Source organism: Homo sapiens, chromosome 4 (assembly GCF_000001405.40).
Source record: "Homo sapiens chromosome 4, GRCh38.p14 Primary Assembly".
Classification (NCBI taxonomy): domain Eukaryota; kingdom Metazoa; phylum Chordata; class Mammalia; order Primates; family Hominidae; genus Homo; species Homo sapiens.
Genome location: NC_000004.12, coordinates 122,856,669 through 122,879,276, shown reverse-complemented (window position 1 = coordinate 122,879,276; position 22,608 = coordinate 122,856,669). Strand labels below are relative to the sequence as shown.

The 22,608-nt window shown below is 37.7% G+C and overlaps 1 protein-coding gene across 2 annotated transcripts in view; it reads right to left on the bottom strand.

Moving 5' to 3' along the window:
- The window catches only part of FGF2 (fibroblast growth factor 2), a 71,555-nt gene that overhangs the window by 18,960 nt on the left and 29,987 nt on the right, over positions 1–22,608 (bottom strand). For both annotated transcript variants that reach the window (NM_002006.6, NM_001361665.2), the window contains exon 2: positions 2,853–2,956. In NM_002006.6, the coding sequence (NP_001997.5) occupies positions 2,853–2,956 (104 nt within the window). The remainder of the gene's footprint in view (positions 1–2,852; positions 2,957–22,608) is intronic.

Genomic DNA, 22,608 nt, shown 5'->3' with positions numbered 1-22,608 from the left:
ATCCAAAATTACTTATTGGTTCACTTTCATGGGAGATATTTAAAATGCTACTTTGGTAGATTCCCAAACTATTACATCACCTCTTGAGCTGACAATAGATTGGCAGAATAAAAGGCAAGTACAGAGTAGAAGAAGTGAAAGTCCCAAGTAGTTAATGTTTTGAGCTGTATTCTTTACCTAGGAAACTGCATACATTCCCCCAATTTAACTACCACCTATATGCTGATCATACCCAAATCTATCTAACAATCAATGTAGACTGTTCCTCTAAGCTCCAGATTTATAATTTCAACTACTCACTGAACATCTTTACCTGAATTTCCCTTAGGCAACTCAAACTAAATAGGTCTAAATTCGAACTTACTACCTTTTCCCAAACCTTGCTCTTTTCTTCCTTCCCCTTTCTCGTCTACCTTCTCACCCAAACCAGCAACCTAAAAGCCATCTTTGACTTTTCTTTCATCTTCAGTCCTAAATCTAATCAATCACAAGTGCTAGCACTTTCCTCACTCCTCTCTGACCTACTGTTATTGCCAGGATCAGAACATGACTTGCTTGGACTATTACAGTGGCCTTCTAACTGATCTCTCTCCACCAGTCTTGGCCCCCTCAAGTCCATTCTCTACACTTCTGCCAGGATGATCTTTCTCAAATTTAAATCTAATTAGATCTCTTCTTAAAACTCTTCATGGCTCTCCACTGCTTATAGTCAGCATGGTGTATAAAGCCCTTCAACAGATTCAGCAGACAGTCTATCTACCTCCCCAGCCTTCTCTCCCTTCCCTTCCACCTAGTTACTCCATTGCACTATACATTCCAGCATTAGTTAATTACTTGTAATTCTAGAGATACATCAAGTAGATTTTTTATCCACACCTTTTCATGTCCTATGTCCTAGAGTTATCTATACCTTCATCTCAATTTCTTCTGCCCCATGACTGCCTGCTGAACTCCTTCCTTTACAACGTCTAAAATTCTACTTATAGGTCATCTCCCCCAATTCTAGAAAAATGTAATTACCTCATTTTCTATATTGCTTCCTATATCATAATACTTCTTATCCTTTCCTATATTACTATGCATGTATGCAAAATATAGAAGTAGCATATCAAAACCCTTATACATTATTATAAATACTTATTTACACTTCTGCCTCCCCTGGATTGTCACTCATTAAGGGCAGAGACAATTTGATATTCAATTTTATAAGCTCAATGCCTACCATAGCATCTGGCACACTTTCACTTAATAAGTATTGGCTATTCTTAAAGAGAATTCTAAAATTTATTCAACTACCTCCCCCCAAAATTGAGAGCCACTACACTCAAACTTGTGATTTATCCTGCAAAAATTACATAAACTGGTAATATCAATGTAAGTATATCTTTGTCATACAGTCAGTCTGAAATTGGGATAGTTTAGATACCCTTTTTCTCTGTAAGCCTTGTTTTGGTGCTTTTAGAAATCCAAAGGTCTTCATTCAGAAGAAATTTCAAAAACTATTTGTATAGCTCAAAATACCACAATTTCTTAGTACTGTTAGATCCTTTCTGTGGGGAGGTTATATAGAGATGTCATAACTGGCCAGTGGCATTGGTGTAAGAGCTGTGAAACACACACACGCACAAACATTTACATACATGTCCTATCTACTCCCTCACGGAGACAGGAATGAGATCTGTCTTTTATATTTATTTTCCTGCACCATTCTTTATACATCATATGTTCAACAGATATGCAGTCCCGTTTCTAATAATAATGGTGAAGTTGACAGGGAGCCTGTACTAGTGGAAAGAATACTAGCCAGGAACTAGGACCCCTGATAAGCTGTGATAACATGTAAAAAAGAAAAGTTCCTCTCTACAGCCAGGCACGGTGGCTCACGCCTATAATCCCAGCACTTTGGGAGGCCAAGGCAGGCGGATCACCTGAGGTCAGAAGTTCAGGACCAGCCCAGCCAACATGGCGAAACCCTGTCTCTACTAAAAAATACAAAAAAATTAACCAGGCATGGTGGTGCATTCCTGTAATCCCAGCTACTCGGGAGGCTGAGGCAGGAGAATTGCTTGAACCCAGAAGGCAGAGGGTACAGTGACCCGAGATTACGCCACTGCACTCCAGTCTGCGCAGTGGAGTGAGACTCCATCTCAAAAAAAAAAAGAAAAAAAAAAGTCCCTCTCCTGACATATATGTAAATGAGAAGTAATGTGAGGAAGAAGTAACAATTTTCAGGATCTATTACGTGTCAGATGCTGATTTGGGCACTTGATGTGTAGTATCTAATTAAATTCTGATAAAATCCCAATGAGATAGTATCATTGTTTCTATTTTACAGGTAAGAGAACTAACTCAGAATCATTTGCCCAAGAACACAGAGCTCATAAGTGGCAGAGTCGGCATCTGTACCAGGCAGAAAGCTTACATTCTCAACTAGTGTTCTACATTGCTAGTGTTTTGTACGTCACATTCTAAAGAAGAAACTTAAAAACTAATAATCAAAATTGTATACATTTATTCCCAATGATCTTCAAACAACTGCATAATAGAAGAAAATTTTTTTTAAATTATAGCTTAATAGTTTTGCAGAGTAAAAGCAGTGACTTAGAGGTCAGGAATGCCTCCAGCCCAATCCAGTCTCTACTTTATATGAGCTGTGTTTTCTTACTTTACTTACTCCCTCAGCACATCAGTTTTTGCATCTGTGAAATAAAGAAAATACTCCCTATTTTACAGGGTGACTATGACGATGATACACGTAAAATCCTTTATAAAGATTTGATAAACAACAATGCTGGTAAATTAACAGCAATAAAAGCTAACAAAAAACGTGTGAAAACAGAAAGTATGCTTACAGAAGCCAGTAATCTTCCATCTTCCTTCATAGCCAGGTAACGGTTAGCACACACTCCTTTGATAGACACAACTCCTCTCTCTTCTGCTTGAAGTTGTAGCTTGACTGTAACGGGAAAAAAAATTATCTTTGTAGCACCACAGAGGAAAGAGCCTTCTTCACAATATTTACGCAATATAAAGACAAAACACACCTAAGCAACAACTAATCCACTTTGGAGGATTGGTGAGGTTGGGGGTATGGGTGAGTGACAGGGAGCAGATGTCAACTAAACTGTATGAGAGAGGATGAGATGCAGAACTACTAGGGCACCAGTGCCTTGTGAGTTCCTTGTCGCTCCTGTGTCACAGGGTGAGCAGAGAAGGTGTCACAGGGTGAGCAGAGAAGGGGGACACACGGAGAATTGTTTCCTTTGTTGGGCAGTTAGCTTTCAATCGCCCCTGTTAACTATTTACATTTTTTAAAGTGAACATATTTTAAGGGTACATAAAAGTGTAGGAGAATTCCCATGCTACTGCCTATGTTGAAACTATTTAAAAGTTATTTGCCAATTCTTCACAAATGAAACAAAATCTAGTTATTCACTGTTATAATTTGAGCTGTATTTCCTTGACTTTTTGAGACGGAGTCTCTCTCTGTCACCCAGGCTGGAGTGCAGTGGCACAATCACGGCTCACTGCAACCTCTGCCTCCCAGGTTCACACCATTCTCCTGCCTCAGTCTCCCAAGTAGCTGGGACTACAGATGCCCACCACCACGCCCAGCTAATTTTTTGTATTTTTAGTAGAGACGCGGTTTCACCATGTTAGCCAGATGGTCTCGATCTCCTGACCTCGTGACCCACCTGCCTTGGCCTCCCAAAGTGCTGGGATTACAGGCATGAGCCACCGCGCCCGGCCCTATTTCTTTGACTTCTACACATCTTATTTCTAGCTTCCTCTTCAATGAACTATAGATGCATTTAGCTTTCTATATGGGATTTTGATGTCTATTTTTTTGTGTGCAAATATCTATCTAGTGGAAACACAAAATGCTTATACTTAATTTGCTTACACAGCAAATGATTTTCATAAAATAAGTGTGATGAAAGATTTTCATAAAATAAGATCCTGAGAAAGATGACTTGTCACACCACATTATCAATATTAAGCAGATTACAGAAAAACAAAAAAAAATTACTTAATTATGATGATAATGTAATATGGACAAATAATTACCTAATTAATTGAAATAAAAATGAAGTAAAGATTATTTTGCTATTCAGAGGCAGCATTCTCCTGCCTAGAACAATATTCCCCCAAATATATTTTTGCTAACAGATGTTAAATAAAAAATAGGTTCTGGTGTCAAATAATTTAGGAAAATCTTAGTTAAACCAAGTTAACTCTTTATTACCAAACTTCTCAGAACTCTGCTTATCATAAGATAAACAAGATAAATGTTTGTCCAGACTATTTTCATAGGTCATCCCACATCCTATGGATATGTTTAGGATATTCTTGAGAGCAACAGAAAAAAATGCAATTTTAGAAATCAGCATATTATCATTTGAATAACATTAGAAATATAAAATAAATATAATTTCCAGGTGTTTATAGGTAGCTAGGGAAACGGCATGAAAAAGCAACTTTTGAAAGTTTCTTAAATAATTAACTTTGTTAGATATCATTATGTCATAGTAATTTATGTTTTAAAATTTTTCCTACCAAGACAGCAACAGACATGCAAAATGAAACATAATATCTGGGATTAGCTTTAAAATAAGCTAATATATTATTTTAAATAATAGATAACTAAATTTTTAATAAAGTGGATAGGATAAATAAGATTCACTTGTGTTAACAGTCATTAGAAGCACAGGATTTCATTATTCTAATCTCACTACTTTTATGAATGTTTAAGAATTTACAATTTAAAAAAAAGACAATCTTAGAATTTTGTTGAACATTTCATGTCTGAGTCACCTCTGTGTGTCAGTCACCCCTGGATTCCAGAAAGCATTGCATCATTTAAGCCTACAGTTACCCAAGTGAAATTCTTCTACAAAATCTTAAAAGATAATACGAAGTAAAAGGAATGTAATGAAGACATGAAACCCAAACAATGAAGGGTATGAAGTATTTTTTACAATATTATTGGAAAATGCAGAAAATAAGCTTTGTTTTTAATCAACATAACCAAACTTATCTTAATGAGTATAAGCAAATTATTGCATACAGCTCTAAAATGATTCAGATAAGCCATTTTAATGAAGAATGCATTTGCATCTCACTTTAACTCATAAGGATGTACAAATGCCCATGAGGCAAGGCTGAATAATCAATCGCTATACTTTCTTTCTGTCCCTTATCAATCAACGCTAGCCCAGCTCTGGTCCACCATCTTATAAATGTGTATTACTAGTCATGAGGGTGATTAGGGATATTCGTGTATGGCCAGATCAGTACCAGTGACTCAATACCCAAAGTAAACATAATTCATTTACTCATTAACCTTTTGTAGACCTCAACTATTCCCACACTCAGGGATTGTTGTCATTCATTAAACCACTAAGCAATAAGCATTACATGTAAGATTCTTGAAGAGTGTTTCCATTGGCATATAATTTTTAAATTACAAGTTTTAAAAATAACCAGAGTCTACAACAAGAAGTTGAGGAAGTCACAAAATCATAGATTTTCTATAAAAACTATCTGAGCTGAGATGCATAAAAAACCTAAATAAACTAAATTCAATATACAGATGATCTCTTCCCAAAATAGAGATGCATAGCTGCTTCATCTCCTAAATAAATTCGATATACAGATGACCTCTTCCCAAAAAAGAGATGCATAGCTGCTTCATCTCTGATAGAAGGAGGAATAAACTTGCCAAAAATGGGACCACGAAGAAACCAGCTGAATTTTTAAGAAACTTTTATTAGCTGCTGATGTGAGGAATTAGAATTCTGAAGAGCCCTGATCAAAGAGCAACTCCATATCCACCTGCCAGTTCTTTCCCATAGAGCTTCCACCCAGTGCACAAGTACCACACACCAAAGGCTAGGAACAGAACAGAAGGGCTAAGAGATCCTCTTCAAGTACACTGGGCCTTTGCAGAATGCAAGGCAGCAGTCCACTGAAGGCTGGGAGCAGGTCAAAGGGCTGAAAGTGATCCTTCTGAGAAGCACTGAGCCTTCACCAAATGCAAAGCCAATGACCAGCAGGATAAAGAGAGATCTTCCAAGATGTGGAAAGCCAGGAGTACAGTTCAAGAGCAAGGTTAGCTCCCCACCAACCCAAACATTTGGCAGCTGAGTTATAAGGGCAAAATGAAATATTTTAAAACTACTCAATTAACCCAAGAAGGCAGAAAGGGAAAGACAGAAGGTAAAGGACAGATAGGATAATTAGAAAAATAGCAAAATGTGTGAATTTGATTCTGTCGTCATGCTGCTATTTGGTTATTTTGCACACTAGCTGATGCAGTTTCTTCATAGTGTCATTGGTCTTTATATTTTGGTGTGTTTTTTGCAGTGACTGGTACCGGTTTTTCCTTTCCATATTGAGTGCTCCTTTCAGGAGCTCCGGTAAGGCAGGCCTGGTGGTGACAAAATCCCTCAGCATCTGCTTGTCTGGAAAGGATTTTATTTCTCCTTCGCTTTTGAAGGTTAGTGTGGCTGGATATGAAATTCTGGGTTGAAAATTTTTTTCTGTAACAATGTTGAATATTGGCCCCCAATCTCTTCTGGCTTATAGAGTTTCTGCTGAGAGGTCTGCTGTTAGTCCGATGGGCTTCCCTTTGTAGGTGACCTGGCCTTTCTCTCTGGCTGCCCTTAACAGTTTTTCCTTCATTTCAACCTTGGAGAATCTGACGATTATGTGTCTTGGGGTTGATCTTCTTGTGGAGTATCTTGGTGGTGTTCTCTGTATTTCCTGAATTTGCATGTTGGCCTGTCTTGCTAAGTTGGGGAAGTTCTCCTGGATAATATCCTGAAGTGTGTTTTCCAGCTTGTTTCTGTTCTCCCTGTCTTCTTCTGGTACTCCAATCGATAGTAGGTTCGGTCTTTTTATGAAGTCCCATATTTCTTGGAGGCTTTCTTCATTCCTTCACATTCTTTCTTCTCTAGTCTTGTCTGCATGCCTTATTTCAGCAAGGTGGTCTTCAAATTCTGATATCCTTTCTTCTACTTGGTTGATTTGGGTGTTGATACTTGTGTATGCTTCACGAAGTTCTCATGCTGTGTTTTTCAGCTCCATCAGGTCATTTATGTTCCTCTCTAAACTGGTTATTCTAGTTAGCAATTCCTCTAACCTTTCATAAAGGTTCTTAGCGTCTTTGCATTGGTTTAGAACATGCTCCTTTTAGCTCAGCGTAGTTTTTTATTACCCATCTTCTGAAGCCTGCTTCCGTCAATTCGTCCATCTGATCCTCCATACAGTTCTGCACCCTTGATGGAGAGACATTGCGATCATTTGGAGGAGAAGAGGCACTTTGGCCTTTTGGGTTTTCATCATTTTTTCGTTGATTTCTTTCTCATCTTTGTGAGTTTGTCTATTTTCAGTCTTTGAGGCTGCTGACCCTTGAATGGGGTTTTTGTGGGGGATTTTTTGTTGTTGTTGATGCTGTTGTTGTTGCTTTCTGCTAGTTTTTTTTTTTTTTTTTGTCTTTCAATGGTCAGGTCCCTCTTCTGAGGGCTTCTGCAGTTTGCTGGGGGTTCACTTTAGGCCCTATTCTATCTGATTTGCTCCTGCACCTGGAGATGTTACTCAAGGAGGCTAGAGAACAGCAAAGATGGGTGCCTGCTTCTTCTGTGTCCTCTGACCTCGAGGAGCACCAACCTGATGCCAGTAGGATCGCTCCTGCATAGGGTGTCTGACAACCCCCTGTTAGAGGGTCTCACCCAATTGGGTGGCACGGGTAATAGGACCAGTTTGATGAAGCACTTTCTCTCTTGGTGGAGGGGGTGTGCCTCTTAGAGACCTACAAAGAGACTTAGACTCCTATGAAATAATAGTGGGAGACTTTAACACCCCACTGTCAGTATTAGATCAATGAGACAGAAAATTAACAAGGATATTCAGGACTTGAACTCAGCTCTGGATCAAGTGGATCTAGTAGACATCTATAGAACTCTCTACCCCAAATCAATAGAATATACATTCTTCTCAGTACCACATGGCATTTATTCTAAAACCGACCACGTATTTGGAAGTAAAACACTCCTCAGCAAATGCAAAAGAACTGAAATCATAACAGTCTCTCAAAACACAGTGCAATCAAATTAGAACTCAGGATTAAGAAACTCACTCAAAACCACACAATTACATGGAAATTGAACAACCTGCTCCTGAATGACTCCTGGGTAAATAATGAAATTACGGCAGAAATGAAGAAGTTATTTGAAAACAACGAGAACAAAGAGACAATGTACCAGAATCTTTGAGACACAGCTAAAGCAGTATTAAGAGGGAAATTTTTAGCACTAAATGCCCACATCAGAAAGCTTGAAAGATCTCAAATCAACACCCTAACATCATAATTAAAAGAGCTAAAGAGGGAAGAACAAACTAATCCAAAAGCTAGCAGAAAACAAGAAATAACTAAGATCATAGAAGAACTGAAGGAGATAGAGACACGAAAAACCCTACAAAAAAATCAATGAATCTAGGAGCTGTTTTTTTGAAAAGATTAACAAATTAGACCACTAGGTAGACTAATAAAGAAGAAAAGAGGGAAGAATCAAGTAGACACAATACAAAATGATAAAGGGGAGATCACCACTGACCCCACAGAAATAGAAACTATCATCAGAGAATACAATAAACACTTCTACTCAAATAAACTAGAAAATCTGGAAGAAACTGATAAATTCCTGGACACATACACCGTCCCAAGGCTAAACCAGGAAGAAGAATCCCTAAATAGACCAATAACAAGCTCTGAAATTGAGGCAGTAATTAATAGCCTGCCAACCAAAAAAAGCCCAGGACCAGACAGATTCACAGCTGAATTCTACCAGAAATACAAAGAAGAGCTGATATCATTCCTTCTGAAACTATTCCAAACAATTGAAAAGGAGGGACTCCTCCCTAATTTATTTTATGAGGCCAGCATCATCCTGATACCAAACCAAGAAGAGACAGAACAAAGAAAACTTCAGGCCAACATCCCTGATGAACACTGATGTGAAAATCCTCAATAAAATGCCGGCAAACAGAATTCAGCAACACATGAAAAAACTTATCCGCTGCGATCAAGTCGACTTCATCCCTGGGATGCAAGGCTGTTTCAACATACACAAATCAATAAATGTAATCCATCACATAAACAGAACCAAAGACAAAAACCACGTGATTATCTCAATAGATGCAGAAAAGGCCTTTGATAAAATTCAACACCCTTTTATGCTAAAAACTCTCAATAAACTAGGTGTTGATGGAACATATCTCAAAATAATAAGAGCTATTTGTGACAAACCCACAGCCAATATATTGAATGGGCAAAAGCTGGAAGCATTCCCTTTGAAAACTGGCACAAGGCAAGGATGCCTCTCTCACCACTCCTACTCAACATAGTATTGGAAATTCTGGCCAGGGAAATCAGGCAAGAGAAAGAAACAAAGGGTATTGAAATAGGAAGAGAGGAAGTCAAATTGTCTCTGTTTGCAGATGACATGATTGTATATTTAGAAAACCCCATCATCTCTGCCCAAAAACTCCTTAAACTGACAAGCAACTTCAGCAAAGTCTCGGGATACAAAATCAATGTGGAAAAATCACAAGCATTCCTTTACACCAACAATAGACAAGCAGAGAGCCAAATCATGAATGAACTCCCGTTCACAATCGTTACAAAGAGAATAAAATACCTAGGAATACAGCTAACAAGGGATGTGAAGGACCTCTTCAAGGAGAACTACAAACCACTGCTCAAGGAAATAAGAGAGAATGCAAACAAATGGAAAAATATTCCATCCTCAAGGATAGGAAGAATCACTATCGTGAAAATGGACATACTGCCCAAAGTAATTTATAGATTCAATGCTATTCCCATCAAACTACCATTGACATTCTTTACAGAATTAGAAAAAACTATTTTAAATTTCATATGGAATGAAAGAAGACCCCGTATAGCCAAGACAATCCTAAGCAAAAAGAACAAAGCTAGAGACATCACACTACCTGACTTCAAACTATACTACAAGGCTGCAGTAACCAAAACAACATGGTACTGGTACCAAAACAGATATATAGACCAATGGAGCAGAGCAGAGACCTCAACAAAAGCAATTGCAACAAAAGCCAAAACTGACAAATGGGATCTAATTAAACTAAAGAGTTTCTGCACAGCAAAATAAACTATCAGCAGAGTGAATAGGCAATCTACAGAATAGGAGAAAATTTCTGCAATCTACCCATCTAACAAAGGTCTAATATCCAGAATTTATAAGGAACTTAAACAAATTTACAAGAAAAAAACAACCTCATCAAAAAGTGGGCAAAGGATATGAACAGACACTTCTCAAAAGACAACATTTACATGGCCAACAAACATAAGGAAAAAAGCTCAACATCACTGATCATCAGAGAAATGCAAATCAAAACCACAATGAGATACCATCTCACACCAGTCAGAATGGTGGTTATTAAAAAGTCAGGAAACAACAGATACTGGCAAGGCTGTGGAGAAATAGAAACACTTTAACACCGTTGGTGGGAATGTAAATTAGTTCAACCATTGTTGAAGACAGTGCGGCAATTCAAGGATCTAGAACCAGAAATACCATTTGACCCAGCAATCTCATTACTGGGTATATACCCAAAGGAATATACATCATTCTACTATAAAGACACATGCACATGTGTGTTTATTGCAGCACTATTCACAATAGCAAAGACATGGAACCAACCCAAATGCCCATCAATGATAGACTGGATCAAGAAAATGTGGTACACACACACCGTGGAATATTATGCAGCCATAAAAAGGAATGAGATCATGTCTTTTGCAGGGACATGGATGAAGCTAGAAGCCATCACCCTCAGCAAACTAACACAGGAAAAGAAAACCAAATACCGCATGTTCTCTCTCGTAAGTGGGAGTTGAACAATAAGAACACATGGACACAGAGTGGGGAACAACACACACCAGGGCCTGTTGTGGGGTGGGGAGTGAAAGGAGGGAACTTAGAGGATGGGTCAATGGGTGCAGCAAACCAGCATGGCACACGTATACCTATGTGCACGTTCTGCATATGTATCCCATTTTTTTAGAAGAAATTTTAAAAAAAGAAAAATAGCAAAATGTCAGATTTAAACTAACCATATCAATAATAACACTGAATATAAATGTCCAACACACCACTAAAAGGAAACAATTGTCAACAAGATGAAAAAACAAAACCTAACTATGTTGTTTACAAGAAAAGCACCTTAATTTACTAGGCAAGTTAATAGTAAAACTGTGGAAAAAATGGGTAAAATGCAGACCTTCAGTATAAGAAAGCTGATCTGGCTATATTAATATCTGACAATATAGCTTTGAAGGCAAGTAGTATAACCAGAAATAAACAGGGTCACCATAATCATCTTAAATGTTTAGCAGCTAATAATAGAACTCTAAAATATCTGAAGCAAAAACTGACAAGAGAATAAATCATTAAGAATATGGAAGGTGTGAACAGCATTACCAATCGTGATTTAAATGATACTGTTGTTTAAATCAGGTAAGTTTCATTTACCTAAGACTTCATCCTCCTAATATAGTCATTTGAAAACTATGTTCCAAAACATTAATTGTGGCTGAGCACAGTGGCTCACACCTGTAATTCCAGCACTCTGGGAGGCCTTGGCAGGCAGATCACTTGAGCCCAGGGTTTGAGACCAGCCTGGGCAACAAAGTGAAATCCTGTCTCTAAAAAATTAAAAAAATATATATTTTTAACAGAAAAAAATTAACTGCCAGCTTGGGAAGCCATCTATGGCAATTTGCCTACTGGTCTTGAATTGTTCAAATCAATTAACTCCATCTGAGAAATTCCTTTTCCAAAGACACCATAATACTAAGTAATATCGAAGGCACTTATTCTGAACTGTTGGTACCCATGGTTCCTTTGTTTGTTTTACCTGTTATAGCCTTATTGAGGTATAATTCACATGCCATGCAATTCACTCATTTAAAACATGCATACAGTTCAATGTGCTTTACTATAATCACAGCATTGGGCAACCATCACAATCAATTATAGAACATTTTCGTCACCCTACATTCTTTAGCAGTCATTTTACACGTCCCTAATACCACTCATCCCAACCCTGGGCAACCTGTCTGTATAGATTTGTCTATTCTGGACATTTCATATAAACAAAATGTGACTGCCTCTTTCACTCAGAATAATGTTTTCAAGGTTTATGCATGTTGTAGCATGTATCAGTACTTCATTACTTTTTATCACCAAATAATAGTCCATTGTATAGCTAGACTTTGATTCATTCATTCAGCAGCTGATGGATATTTGGACTGTTTTTACTTTTTGGCTACGTAAATAACGTTGCTATGAACATTCGTAGACAAGATTTTGTGTAGACATGTTTTCTTTTGGGGGGAGTATATACCTAGGAGTCAAATTACTGGGTCATATGGTAACTCTATGTTTAATCATTTGTGGAACTGTCAGACTGTTTTCCAATGCAACTTTACATTCTCATCACAATATATGAGAGTTCCAATTATTCCACATCCAGGCCAACACTTGTTATGGTCTGTTTTTGTTTCTCAATTATAGGCATCCTAGTTGAGTGTGAAGTAATATCTCACTGTGGTTTTGATTTGCATTTCTTCGATGGGTAATAATGTTGAGCATCTTTTCATGTGCTTATTGGCTATTTGGTTACCTTCTTTGAAGAACTGTCTACTTAGATCTTTGATTCATTTTTAGATTGTCTTTTTATTATTGAGTTGAAAGAGTTCATTATATGTTCTAGACACAAATCCCGTTCAGACATATGATGTGAGAATATTTTCTCCCATCCTGTGGGGTATCTTTTCACTTACTTTTATTTATTTTTTTTTTTTTTGAGACGGAGTCTCGCTCTTTCACCCAGGCGGGAGTGCAGTGGCGCAATCTCGGCTCACTGCAAGCTCCGCCTCCTGGGTTCACGCCATTCTCCTGCCTCAGCCTCCCGAGTAGTTGGGACTACAGGCGCCCGCCACCACGCCCGGCTAATTTTTTGTATTTTTAGTAGAGTCGGGGTTTCATGTGTTAGCCAGGATGGTCTCGATCTCCTGACCTCGTGATCCGCCCGCCTCGGCCTCCCAAAGTGCTGGGATTACAGGCATGAGCCACCGCGCCCGGCCTCTTTTCACTTTCTTGATGTTGTCCTTTGAAGCATAAACACTTTAAATTTTCATGAAGTCCAATTTATCAATGTTCTTCTTTTGTTGCTTGTACTTTTGGTGTCATATCTAAAAAATCACTGCCTAATCTAGGGTCATGAAGGTTTACACCTATGCATTCCTCCAAGTTTTAGTTTTACCCCTTCTATTTAGGTTTTAATACATTTTGAGTTAATTTTTGTATGTGGTATGTGGCACAACTTCATTCTTTTGCATGCAGATATGCCCAAAATGACACTTAAAGATCACTACACCCAACATCTGCAGAATCTACATTCTTTTCAAGGGCACATAGAACGTTCCCAAGAATAAATTATATGCTTGACCATAAAACAAGCCTCAATACATTTGAAATGACTGAAATCATATGATGTATTAAAGTAGAAATGTTAGCAATATGATATCTGGAAAATCCCCAAATATTTGGAAATTAGGCAATGCATTTCCAAATAAAACACAGAGAAGGCCAGGCGTGGTGGTTCATGCCTATAATCTCAGTACTTTGGGAGATGGGTGGATTGCTTGAGATCAGGAGTTCGAGGCCAGCCTGGCCAACATGGCAAAACCCCACTCTACAAAAAATAAAAAAAATTAGCCAGGCATGGTGGCATGCGCCTGTAATCCCAGCTACCTAGAAGGCTGAGGCACAAGAATTGCTTGGGCCTGGGAGGCGGAGGTTGCAGTCAGCCGAGATAGCACGAATGCACTCCAGCCTGGATGACAGAGAAGACCCTGTCTCAACAACAACAACAAAACAAACAAACAAACAAAAAAAAACAGAGAAAATAAATCACAAAGAAATTTAGAAAATATTTCTAGTTTTATGATAATGAAAACTCAGCATGTTTAATGGGAAAGTTACAGCTTTAAATATTTGTATTAGATAAACAAAACATAAAAATCTAAGCTTCTACATTATGATCTAGAAAAATAAGAGCAAATTAAACCCAAAGTAATAGCACAGGGAATATTTAATATGTAAAAACTGTACATTTGAATATGTACAGATTAGTAGGAAACAATCCCAAAGGGTTACCAATTATTTGGGGATAATGAGATAAAAATGATATTTTACTTCCACATGCATTGTGATATTTAAATTTTTTTCTCAGTTGTGCATGTTACCTTTATAATAAGCATGTAACAATGTTTGCATTGTTAAAACTTTAAAACAATCTAGAATAAAATACCAACTGTGTGTCATATTAAACACAACTGAAAATAAGCACATTCATGAGTGAGTTCAAGGAGGGAGAGAGAATTTCTCAATTAAAAAGGGAGTTAACTTTGTTACATCCATATGTAACAATGTTAGCATTGTTAAAACTTTAAAGCAATCTAGAATAAAAATACCAACTGTGCATCATATTAAACATGACTGAAAATACGCACATTCATGAGTTCAAGGAAAAAGAGAGAATTTCTCAATTATAAAGGGAGTTTGGAGACGTATCACCCAAAAGGGATATGTGAACCTTGTTCAACTTCTGATGGAGAATAAACCAACTGTAAAGAAAATATGAGACCATCAGGAAAATTTTAACACTAGCTGGATATTTTATGCCTTCAGGTAATTTTATACCACTCACAGTAATTTTATACCATACCTGTCTGTCCCCCACCAACTGACGGTGAGCTTTTTGAGGGTAGGGAACTATACCTTATCCATTTCTGTATCCCTAGCAGTGGCACACTGCCCGACACACAACAGAATCGAGTGAATGTCTGTTGGATCAAAGTACCTCAGGGAAAAGAGTGACAGGTAAGATGGTGAACAAGATATTGTGAAAAAATATCCCAGTATTAAGTCCCTCACAATGCTAAAGCATGAAAAAAATGAAAGGTTTACAGAGGCCAAAATTAGGAAAAAGAAAAGCAGAGATTCAGAAAGAAAATCAAAAGATGCAGTGTGATTTTTTTTTAATGTATCAACTTGGCTAGGCTGCAGTCCCCAGTAATTCAATGAAACACTAATCTATGTGTTGCTGTGAAGGTACTTTGTAAATGTGATTAAAGTCCATAATCAATTGACTTCCAGTAAAGAAGATTATTCTTGAAAATGTTGCAGGCCTGTTTCAACAATTGACTTCGAGTAAAGAACATTATTCTTGAAAATGTTGCAGGCCTGTTTCAATCAGTTGAAAGGCCTTATGAGCAGAGCTGAAGCTTCCCAGCAGAAATTCTGCCTGTGGACAGCCACTTCAGCCTATGCCAGAGAATTCTAGCCTGCCAGTTCTGCCAGCCTGCCTATGGATCTCAGACTTGCCTCACCAGCCCCCACTATGGTGTAAGCCAACTCCTTCCAATACATCTCTAAACATATATATTTTTAGAAAAAGAAAGAATTGCAGCCATGTGATTGGTGTCATACTGGAGTTTTTTACAGGTGCTAGGAGACTACAGAATAGGACATATCCATTATTAAATGAAAAGGCTGGGAATATTTCTAGGAGGGGTGAGTTTTGAGCTAAGTTTTGGAGTATAGATAGAAGATAACCACATGAGCAAGGTATTGGCAAGGGAGAGACAAAAGAGAATGATATTCTGGGTAGAATGTCATTCCAGGACTGAGGCATGAAACAGCCATGCCTGTTCTAAACACTTAAGTCCTACACACCTAGAGCAATCAAGAAAACCCAGGCTGAGAAACTCTATAGATCAAACAATCCAATTTCTTTAGCAAGTAATTGCAAGGGAGAAAAAAGGATGGAAGGAAGACATGACATGAAAACAGCTAAAAATTCATATATTTTCAAAGGCCAAACTAAAGTAGACTATTTTAGAATACCTATTTCTATGACAAAAACTATTAAGAAAAATAAAGAAGTGACTGAAATAAGTCTACACTTTCATTGGGGAAGACAGTCTGTGATAGAGACAGGGCATAGAACGCTTCTGAGGTGGCTGGCAAAGTTCTGTTTTATGACCTGAGCAACAGTTATAAGAATGTTCACATAGGAATAATTCCCTAAAGTACAAATTTTTAAACGTGATTTTCTGTGTTTGTATTTTACATTTTTATAAATTTTTTAAAAGGCTGTGCTAAGAGACCTTTCTAAATTGGACTTTAGACACTGACTTAACCCAGCTCATTTTAACAAGCCGGAGATGACTCCCTAGAGTCAGTTTTTGGATGCATGGAAGTCAACAATTTTGATAAACATAGACTTCTGGTAACTTTCTAATGTTGATATTAAATCCACTAAGACCTAAACTTAGACAAATAAATAGTATGTTATCCAAGCTTTAAATTCAATTTTTTAAAATATTGTAACATAAAAGCAAAAGCTCTAAACTACAAAATTGAAGCATCTCATCATAAAGCAAAATCTTAGTGGTCACTTAGCCTTATCATTACACAATTATATCTTAAATCACATCTACAATATCCATGACAAACAACTGTCCAACTTTGACTTGAAAATCTTCAGCAAAGGAGAATTGACACAATCTTTCTAAAATGATTTAGATATGTCAGCAAAGGAATAGAAACTCTGATCACCATAAGTAAATCACTTAAATGTTCAAGTGTTCAGATCATTGGCACTCAACACATTAGTTAAACAGTAGGACCAAAAAGCCAAATTATTATTTCAACATTACCACCATTGCTTAAAATATTTTGGAACTCCTATTTTGGAATATCTTCCACAATCCACATCATTTTCTTTTGTATATGCCCCAGGATGATGAATCTTAGAATCATACAATACCAATTTATCAGCAGTGTAAGGGATCATCCAGTACACCTTCCCTATTTAGAAATAAGGAAGCTGATATTTAGAGAGATCTGTCCCTGGTGAAAGAATATGGTTTTTGGAAACAGACAAGTCAGTGTTTCCATAAATGGTGAATACATTTACTCATTAATTCAATTAACATTTATGGGTAACAGCTATGTGCCAGGTACTGTGCTAAGCAATAGGAAGCCCAAAGGAAAATATAACATTGGTCTTTAGCCTTAAGGAACATACAGCATGGTTGAGGCGATGAGGACTGGTACACGGATAACTAAAGCTCAATACTGTAAGTGCCATGAGAAAAATATACACAGGCTACTTTGAGAGCACTCAGAGAATACATCTAACCCAGCCTGAACAGAGAGGTTTCCTGGAAGCAGTGACAAATGATTGGAGACTGAAAGAATTAGCAATAGTAAGGAAAAGAAAGAACGGGAACAAAAAGAAAGCATCTTATATAACTTCCAAAGGAGAAAGGGAGAGAAAGCCTAGCACATCTAAGGAACTTCCAGCAATTAGGTAGCATGGAGTGTAGGGGTATGTATGTGTGTGTTGTGGAAGGGGGTATGGGGGACTAAATGAGGCTGGAGATACCAGAGGCTCTGAATACTATGTTAAGGAGTTTGGTAGTGTGTAATAGCATGAAAGAATGAGAGCTTTTAATGAAACAGTGGGGACAAAGGACAGAATCCAAGGAAGCACCAACTGTGGGAGTGGACAGAAGGTAACAAATACGGGAGACATGAAGGAAGCAGGATTCACAGGGGCTATGAGGAGAAGGAAGGGAGGGAGGTAAAAAGAGGGCAAAAAGGAAGGAGAGAAGAAGGGAGGAAAGAATAAAGCAAATAGTTCAGAAATAGGTCCCAGGTTTTTCTGTCTTGGATAACTTGGAGGTGGTTGGAGCAGCAGGAGGGGAAAGTTGGCAAGAGAAGACAATGATATATGTTCCCTTCAGACACAGTGAAATTGCAATGCCTGTGGAAAATTCAGACAGAGATGTCCAGAAAGCAGTCAGCTATATGAATCCAGAGTTCAAAAAAGGAATCTATTAGAAATAAAGAGGTAATAATCAGAGCTAACAGTGGCTGCCTTGGGAGTGCAGGCTGTGCCTAATCCCTACAGGGAGATGTAAAGTGGCTGCGATCTTCTCAAAAGTGTGTAGCCAGCGCAGATTAAAGGGCAAAGGACATAATCCAAGGAAGCACCAACATTTATGGGAGAAGTATAGGATGTAGAGCAAGAAGAGCCTGGATGGAGTGGTCAGTACGAGCTAGTGCAGGAAGATACGTATATGCACACCTAATACCTACACACACACAATACTTGGAAACTAAGGTATCTAACAGTTATTATTTGCAGACAGTACCATTTTCTCCATTAAAAAATCAAGGGACTAAATGCACCATGATATTCTGGATTGGATCTCGGAACAGAAAAAGGACATTAGTGGAAAAAGCGGCAAAATCCAAATAAATCTATACTTTAGAACCAGCGTTGTAACCAGTATCAATTTCTTAGTTTTGACAAAGGTGCCACAGATATGTAAGAAGTAAGGCTGGGTGCAGTGGCTCACGCCTGTAGCCTAGCACTTCGGGAGGCCAAGGTGGGTGGATTGCTTGAAGCCAGGAATTCGAGACCAGCCTGGTCAACATGGCAAGAACCTGTCTCTACAAAAAATACAAAAAAATAGCCAGGCGTGGTGGCATATGCCTGTAATCCCAGCTACTTGGGAGGCTGAGGCACAAGAATCACTGGAGCCTGGGTGGGTGGAGGTTGCAGTGAACCATGATTGGGCCACTGCTCTTCAGCCTAGGCAACAGAGCAGGATCTTGTCTCAAAAAAAAAAAAAAAAAAAAAAAAAGTTAACCTTAGGGAAATCTAGGTGAAGGGTATAGAGGAACTTTGTAAAGTCTTTGTAAATCTTCTGTAGATCTAAAATTATTCCAAAATAAAAAGTTTCTTTTAAAGTTAGGAGAACATACAGATGAACTATTGAAAATAATTCAGCAACTTGCTTGATACAAGAATATATAAAAATTCGGTTTATTTACACCTACAACACATTATTAGAACTGTTAGTTATTAAAAAAATATTTATGATGATAACAAATAGTATCTAGGACTTTTATGGAGAAAATTTTAAAACTTTATTGAAAATCATTTTTAAAAGACTTAAAAGGGGAGCTATGCATGTTTACAGATGGGAAAACTCGATATAGGTAAGATGTCATTTCCACCCCAACCAAATAGTTTACAAATTTAATGAAACCCCACAAGAGTGGTCAGAAGTAGGAAACCAGGAGTTAGAAACCAAATGCAGATAGGATCTCAAGTGGGACCTTCAAGAAGACCTTCAGTATCAAATGGTACCAAAAATGACAGGTAATATAAAACTGAAAAGTATTCACTAGATTAACCTCAGTAACAATTTGGGAACAGTAAATGCGAACAACTCCTTCAAGAAGTTTGTGAAGTAAACCGCAGATGTTAAACTGTAGTACTCAGAGTAAATAACATGGTGTCAAATGCATGAATTTTGGAGTCAGACCTGGATTCAAAATCAGCCTTCATCTCCAAGTAACTGAGCTTACCTTCTCACCTGTACGATGGGAAACAGTTGTTATAGATCTTTTGTGTGTGTGTGTGTGTGTGTGTATATACATATGTACACACCCATATATAAACTTTTAGTATATAGCACTCAAATATGTTGGCTTTGCACCCTACCTGCTTTGTTTTGAGATTCAGGAAATTATGTTTTTAGGAATCCTTGTATTTTATCAAAGATGAGAATATCTAGAAGAGGGCAAGTATGAATGTGGCTGAGGCATCTTTTTAAAGTATATTATTTATGCTTATATAATGTCTTACCATAGCGAGCCCAGTTCTTTACCTACAGAATAAATAAATTTTTAGTTTTATTTTATTTCCCAAGGGAAATACTGCAAAAAAGACTAAGACCTTATATAATTTCTCAATCTATTATCCTATTCATTCATTCAGTAATTGATATTGGTGTCTCTTATGTGTCAGGAAACTATTCTAGGATCTAGAAATACAACAGTGACAAAGACCTACAAAGTCTCCACCCTCATGGGGCTTAGTGGCAATTGCATAATTTTTCATTAGTTGGGCCAGTGTTAATATTATTTCTCATTTAAGTAATTTGAAACCCAAGCAAACTGAAACTCTCAATTTAGGGTACTAAGATAATCAGAAAGCAGTTGTCTAATACTATATTTCAAGGCTCACTATATTAGTCTATAGAGAACAAGTACTCACATAACCTGACATCTTCAGCTCAGAACACAATGCTCACATTTTAACTTCTGGCTGATTCAAAAGACCTTTTTTATTTAAAATTGGTTGATAGAGTGTGTTCGCTTTCCAATAAAATTATGTTTTGGTGTCCAAAAATAACTGAGCCAGGTTTAGTAGTCTCCTTGGATCTAAAATTCACCAGTAACTGAAAACTAAATTCCAAGGTATAACCACTGTTTTTTTTTCTTCCATCAGCCATCATCCAATCCAATGCTGAAGACCAGGCACTGAAAACCGTTTAATGCATAGATAACTGACAAAGGAGGCTAGGTAACAAAAGGAACTAATTTGGCCAGGCACGGTGGCTCACGTCTGTAACCCTAGCACTTTGGGAGGACAAGGCAGGCAGATTGCCTGAGCTCAGGAGTTCAAGACCAGCCTGGGCAACACGATGAAACCCCATCTCTATTAAAATACAAAAAACTAGCCAGGCATGATGGCATGCACCTGTAGTCCCAGCTACTCAGGAGGCTGAGGCAGGAGAATCACTTGAACCCAGGAGGCGGAAGTTGCAGTGAGCCGAGACCAGACCACTGCACTCCAGCCTGGGTGACAGATCGAGACTCTGTCTCCAAAAAGAAAACAAAGTAAAAGGAAAAAAAAAAAGGAACTCATTTGCTGAAAATGAAAAACTTTACATCTTCATACATGTATATGGAGTACCCATGGTAATAATCAGATAAATTACAAAGATCAGATACAAATATGACTAACACATTTCATATTGCCCCTCTCAGTAAACTTTCTTTTTTTACTATTTTATTTTGCATATCATCCCAGAAGCCCAAAACCACACATTCCATTCTCTTCACAATTCAACTGGCTAATTAAAGTTTATAAATAAGAACATTAGACACCCAGATAGTTCATTAAAATTCTTAGCAACTCCTCAGCTAGCAAACAAGGTTAAAATTGGGCATAATATGAAAGAAAGAAAAATTAAAGAAAGAAAGGAAGGGAGCTAGCTTAGAAATCTGTGCATTCCTTCATTACTACCCAATCAGGACATGGCTTTACGAGTCCATTAAATCTTTCTGTGTATCAACTCTTATAGCCATAAAGTAAAAATGGTTTTTATTATGAAACTTAAGATTGTAGATGATGACAAAATAATTAAAACAATTTAATTAAAAATAAGTGCAACATACAATGTCTGAAATACTAAATCTCTTGCCAAAATTTTACTTCTAAGCCATACCATTTAACTTATGTAATTTAAAAAATTTAAAGATGTACAGCTGATTTATGCCAAAGGTAGGCTGTTAGAAACAATTTCAATCCATACAAACTTACAATTTCCTCCAATATCTTATGTACTGGCTTTATTACCTCATGTTCTAAAAGAGATATGTTTGGGCTGGCTGAGCTACCAATACAAGCAACTGTAACACAATGCCCAAATAGCTGTAAATATCAGGTGACTCCTGATTCTTCTAACAGCACAGCTGCTTGTTTAAGAATGCCAATGGCTTTTATTTCTATAGTGACACCATCAGATAATTAAGTCAGATTGATGGTAAGAAAAGGAAAAGGTAGGAACTATTTAGCATCTTGTGGCATTCCAGAAGCTCCAGGCGCAATACAGGGGCAAAGAACTGCACAGCAGCAAAGATAAGCTTCAGAGATAGAGAGAAAAGGGGAGTTCAAAGTCCCAGTACTCATCAGTAAATAGTCACAAGTTGACAGGTAGAGAGGACACCTTCCCTCATCTGTTCTGTAGCTATTAGGGATTACAGACATTATCTGACTATCTGAGCATCACGGAAAGGCTAGAAATGCTCTGCCACTGAGGACACTTCTTGGCCTGGTTTGTGGAGGTATTGTAATTCAGGTGGGAAAATTCCATCCACTTTTGGCTGGGGCATTTTCTGGTAAGAATAATTACAGTACTAACACCTCAGTAATCTGGATTTCAGGACCCCACACTGACTCCTGGCACAGCAACACCAGGCAACACTGACGACATGCATCTATAAATACCTGGCTTCCACCTACAAAACGCATCAACCCTATATGTGTTAAATGGTCTTTTCTTCTCAGGGGCCAGCTGTTGGAGAAATGTTTCTAAAAATAAGTTGCCCACAAAATTATAGAAATGGAGAACAGATGGGTAGTTTCCCAAGGTGGGGCTGAGGGAGTGAGTGCACCTATAAAAGGGCAACCTGAGGAATCACCGTGATGATGGAAATGCTCTGTATCTTGAATGAATCAATGTCAATATCTGGGTTATGATACTGTACTACTGTTTCACAAGATGTTACAATGGGGGAAAATTGGGTAAAGAGTACAAGGAATCTGCCTGTATTATCTTTTTACAAC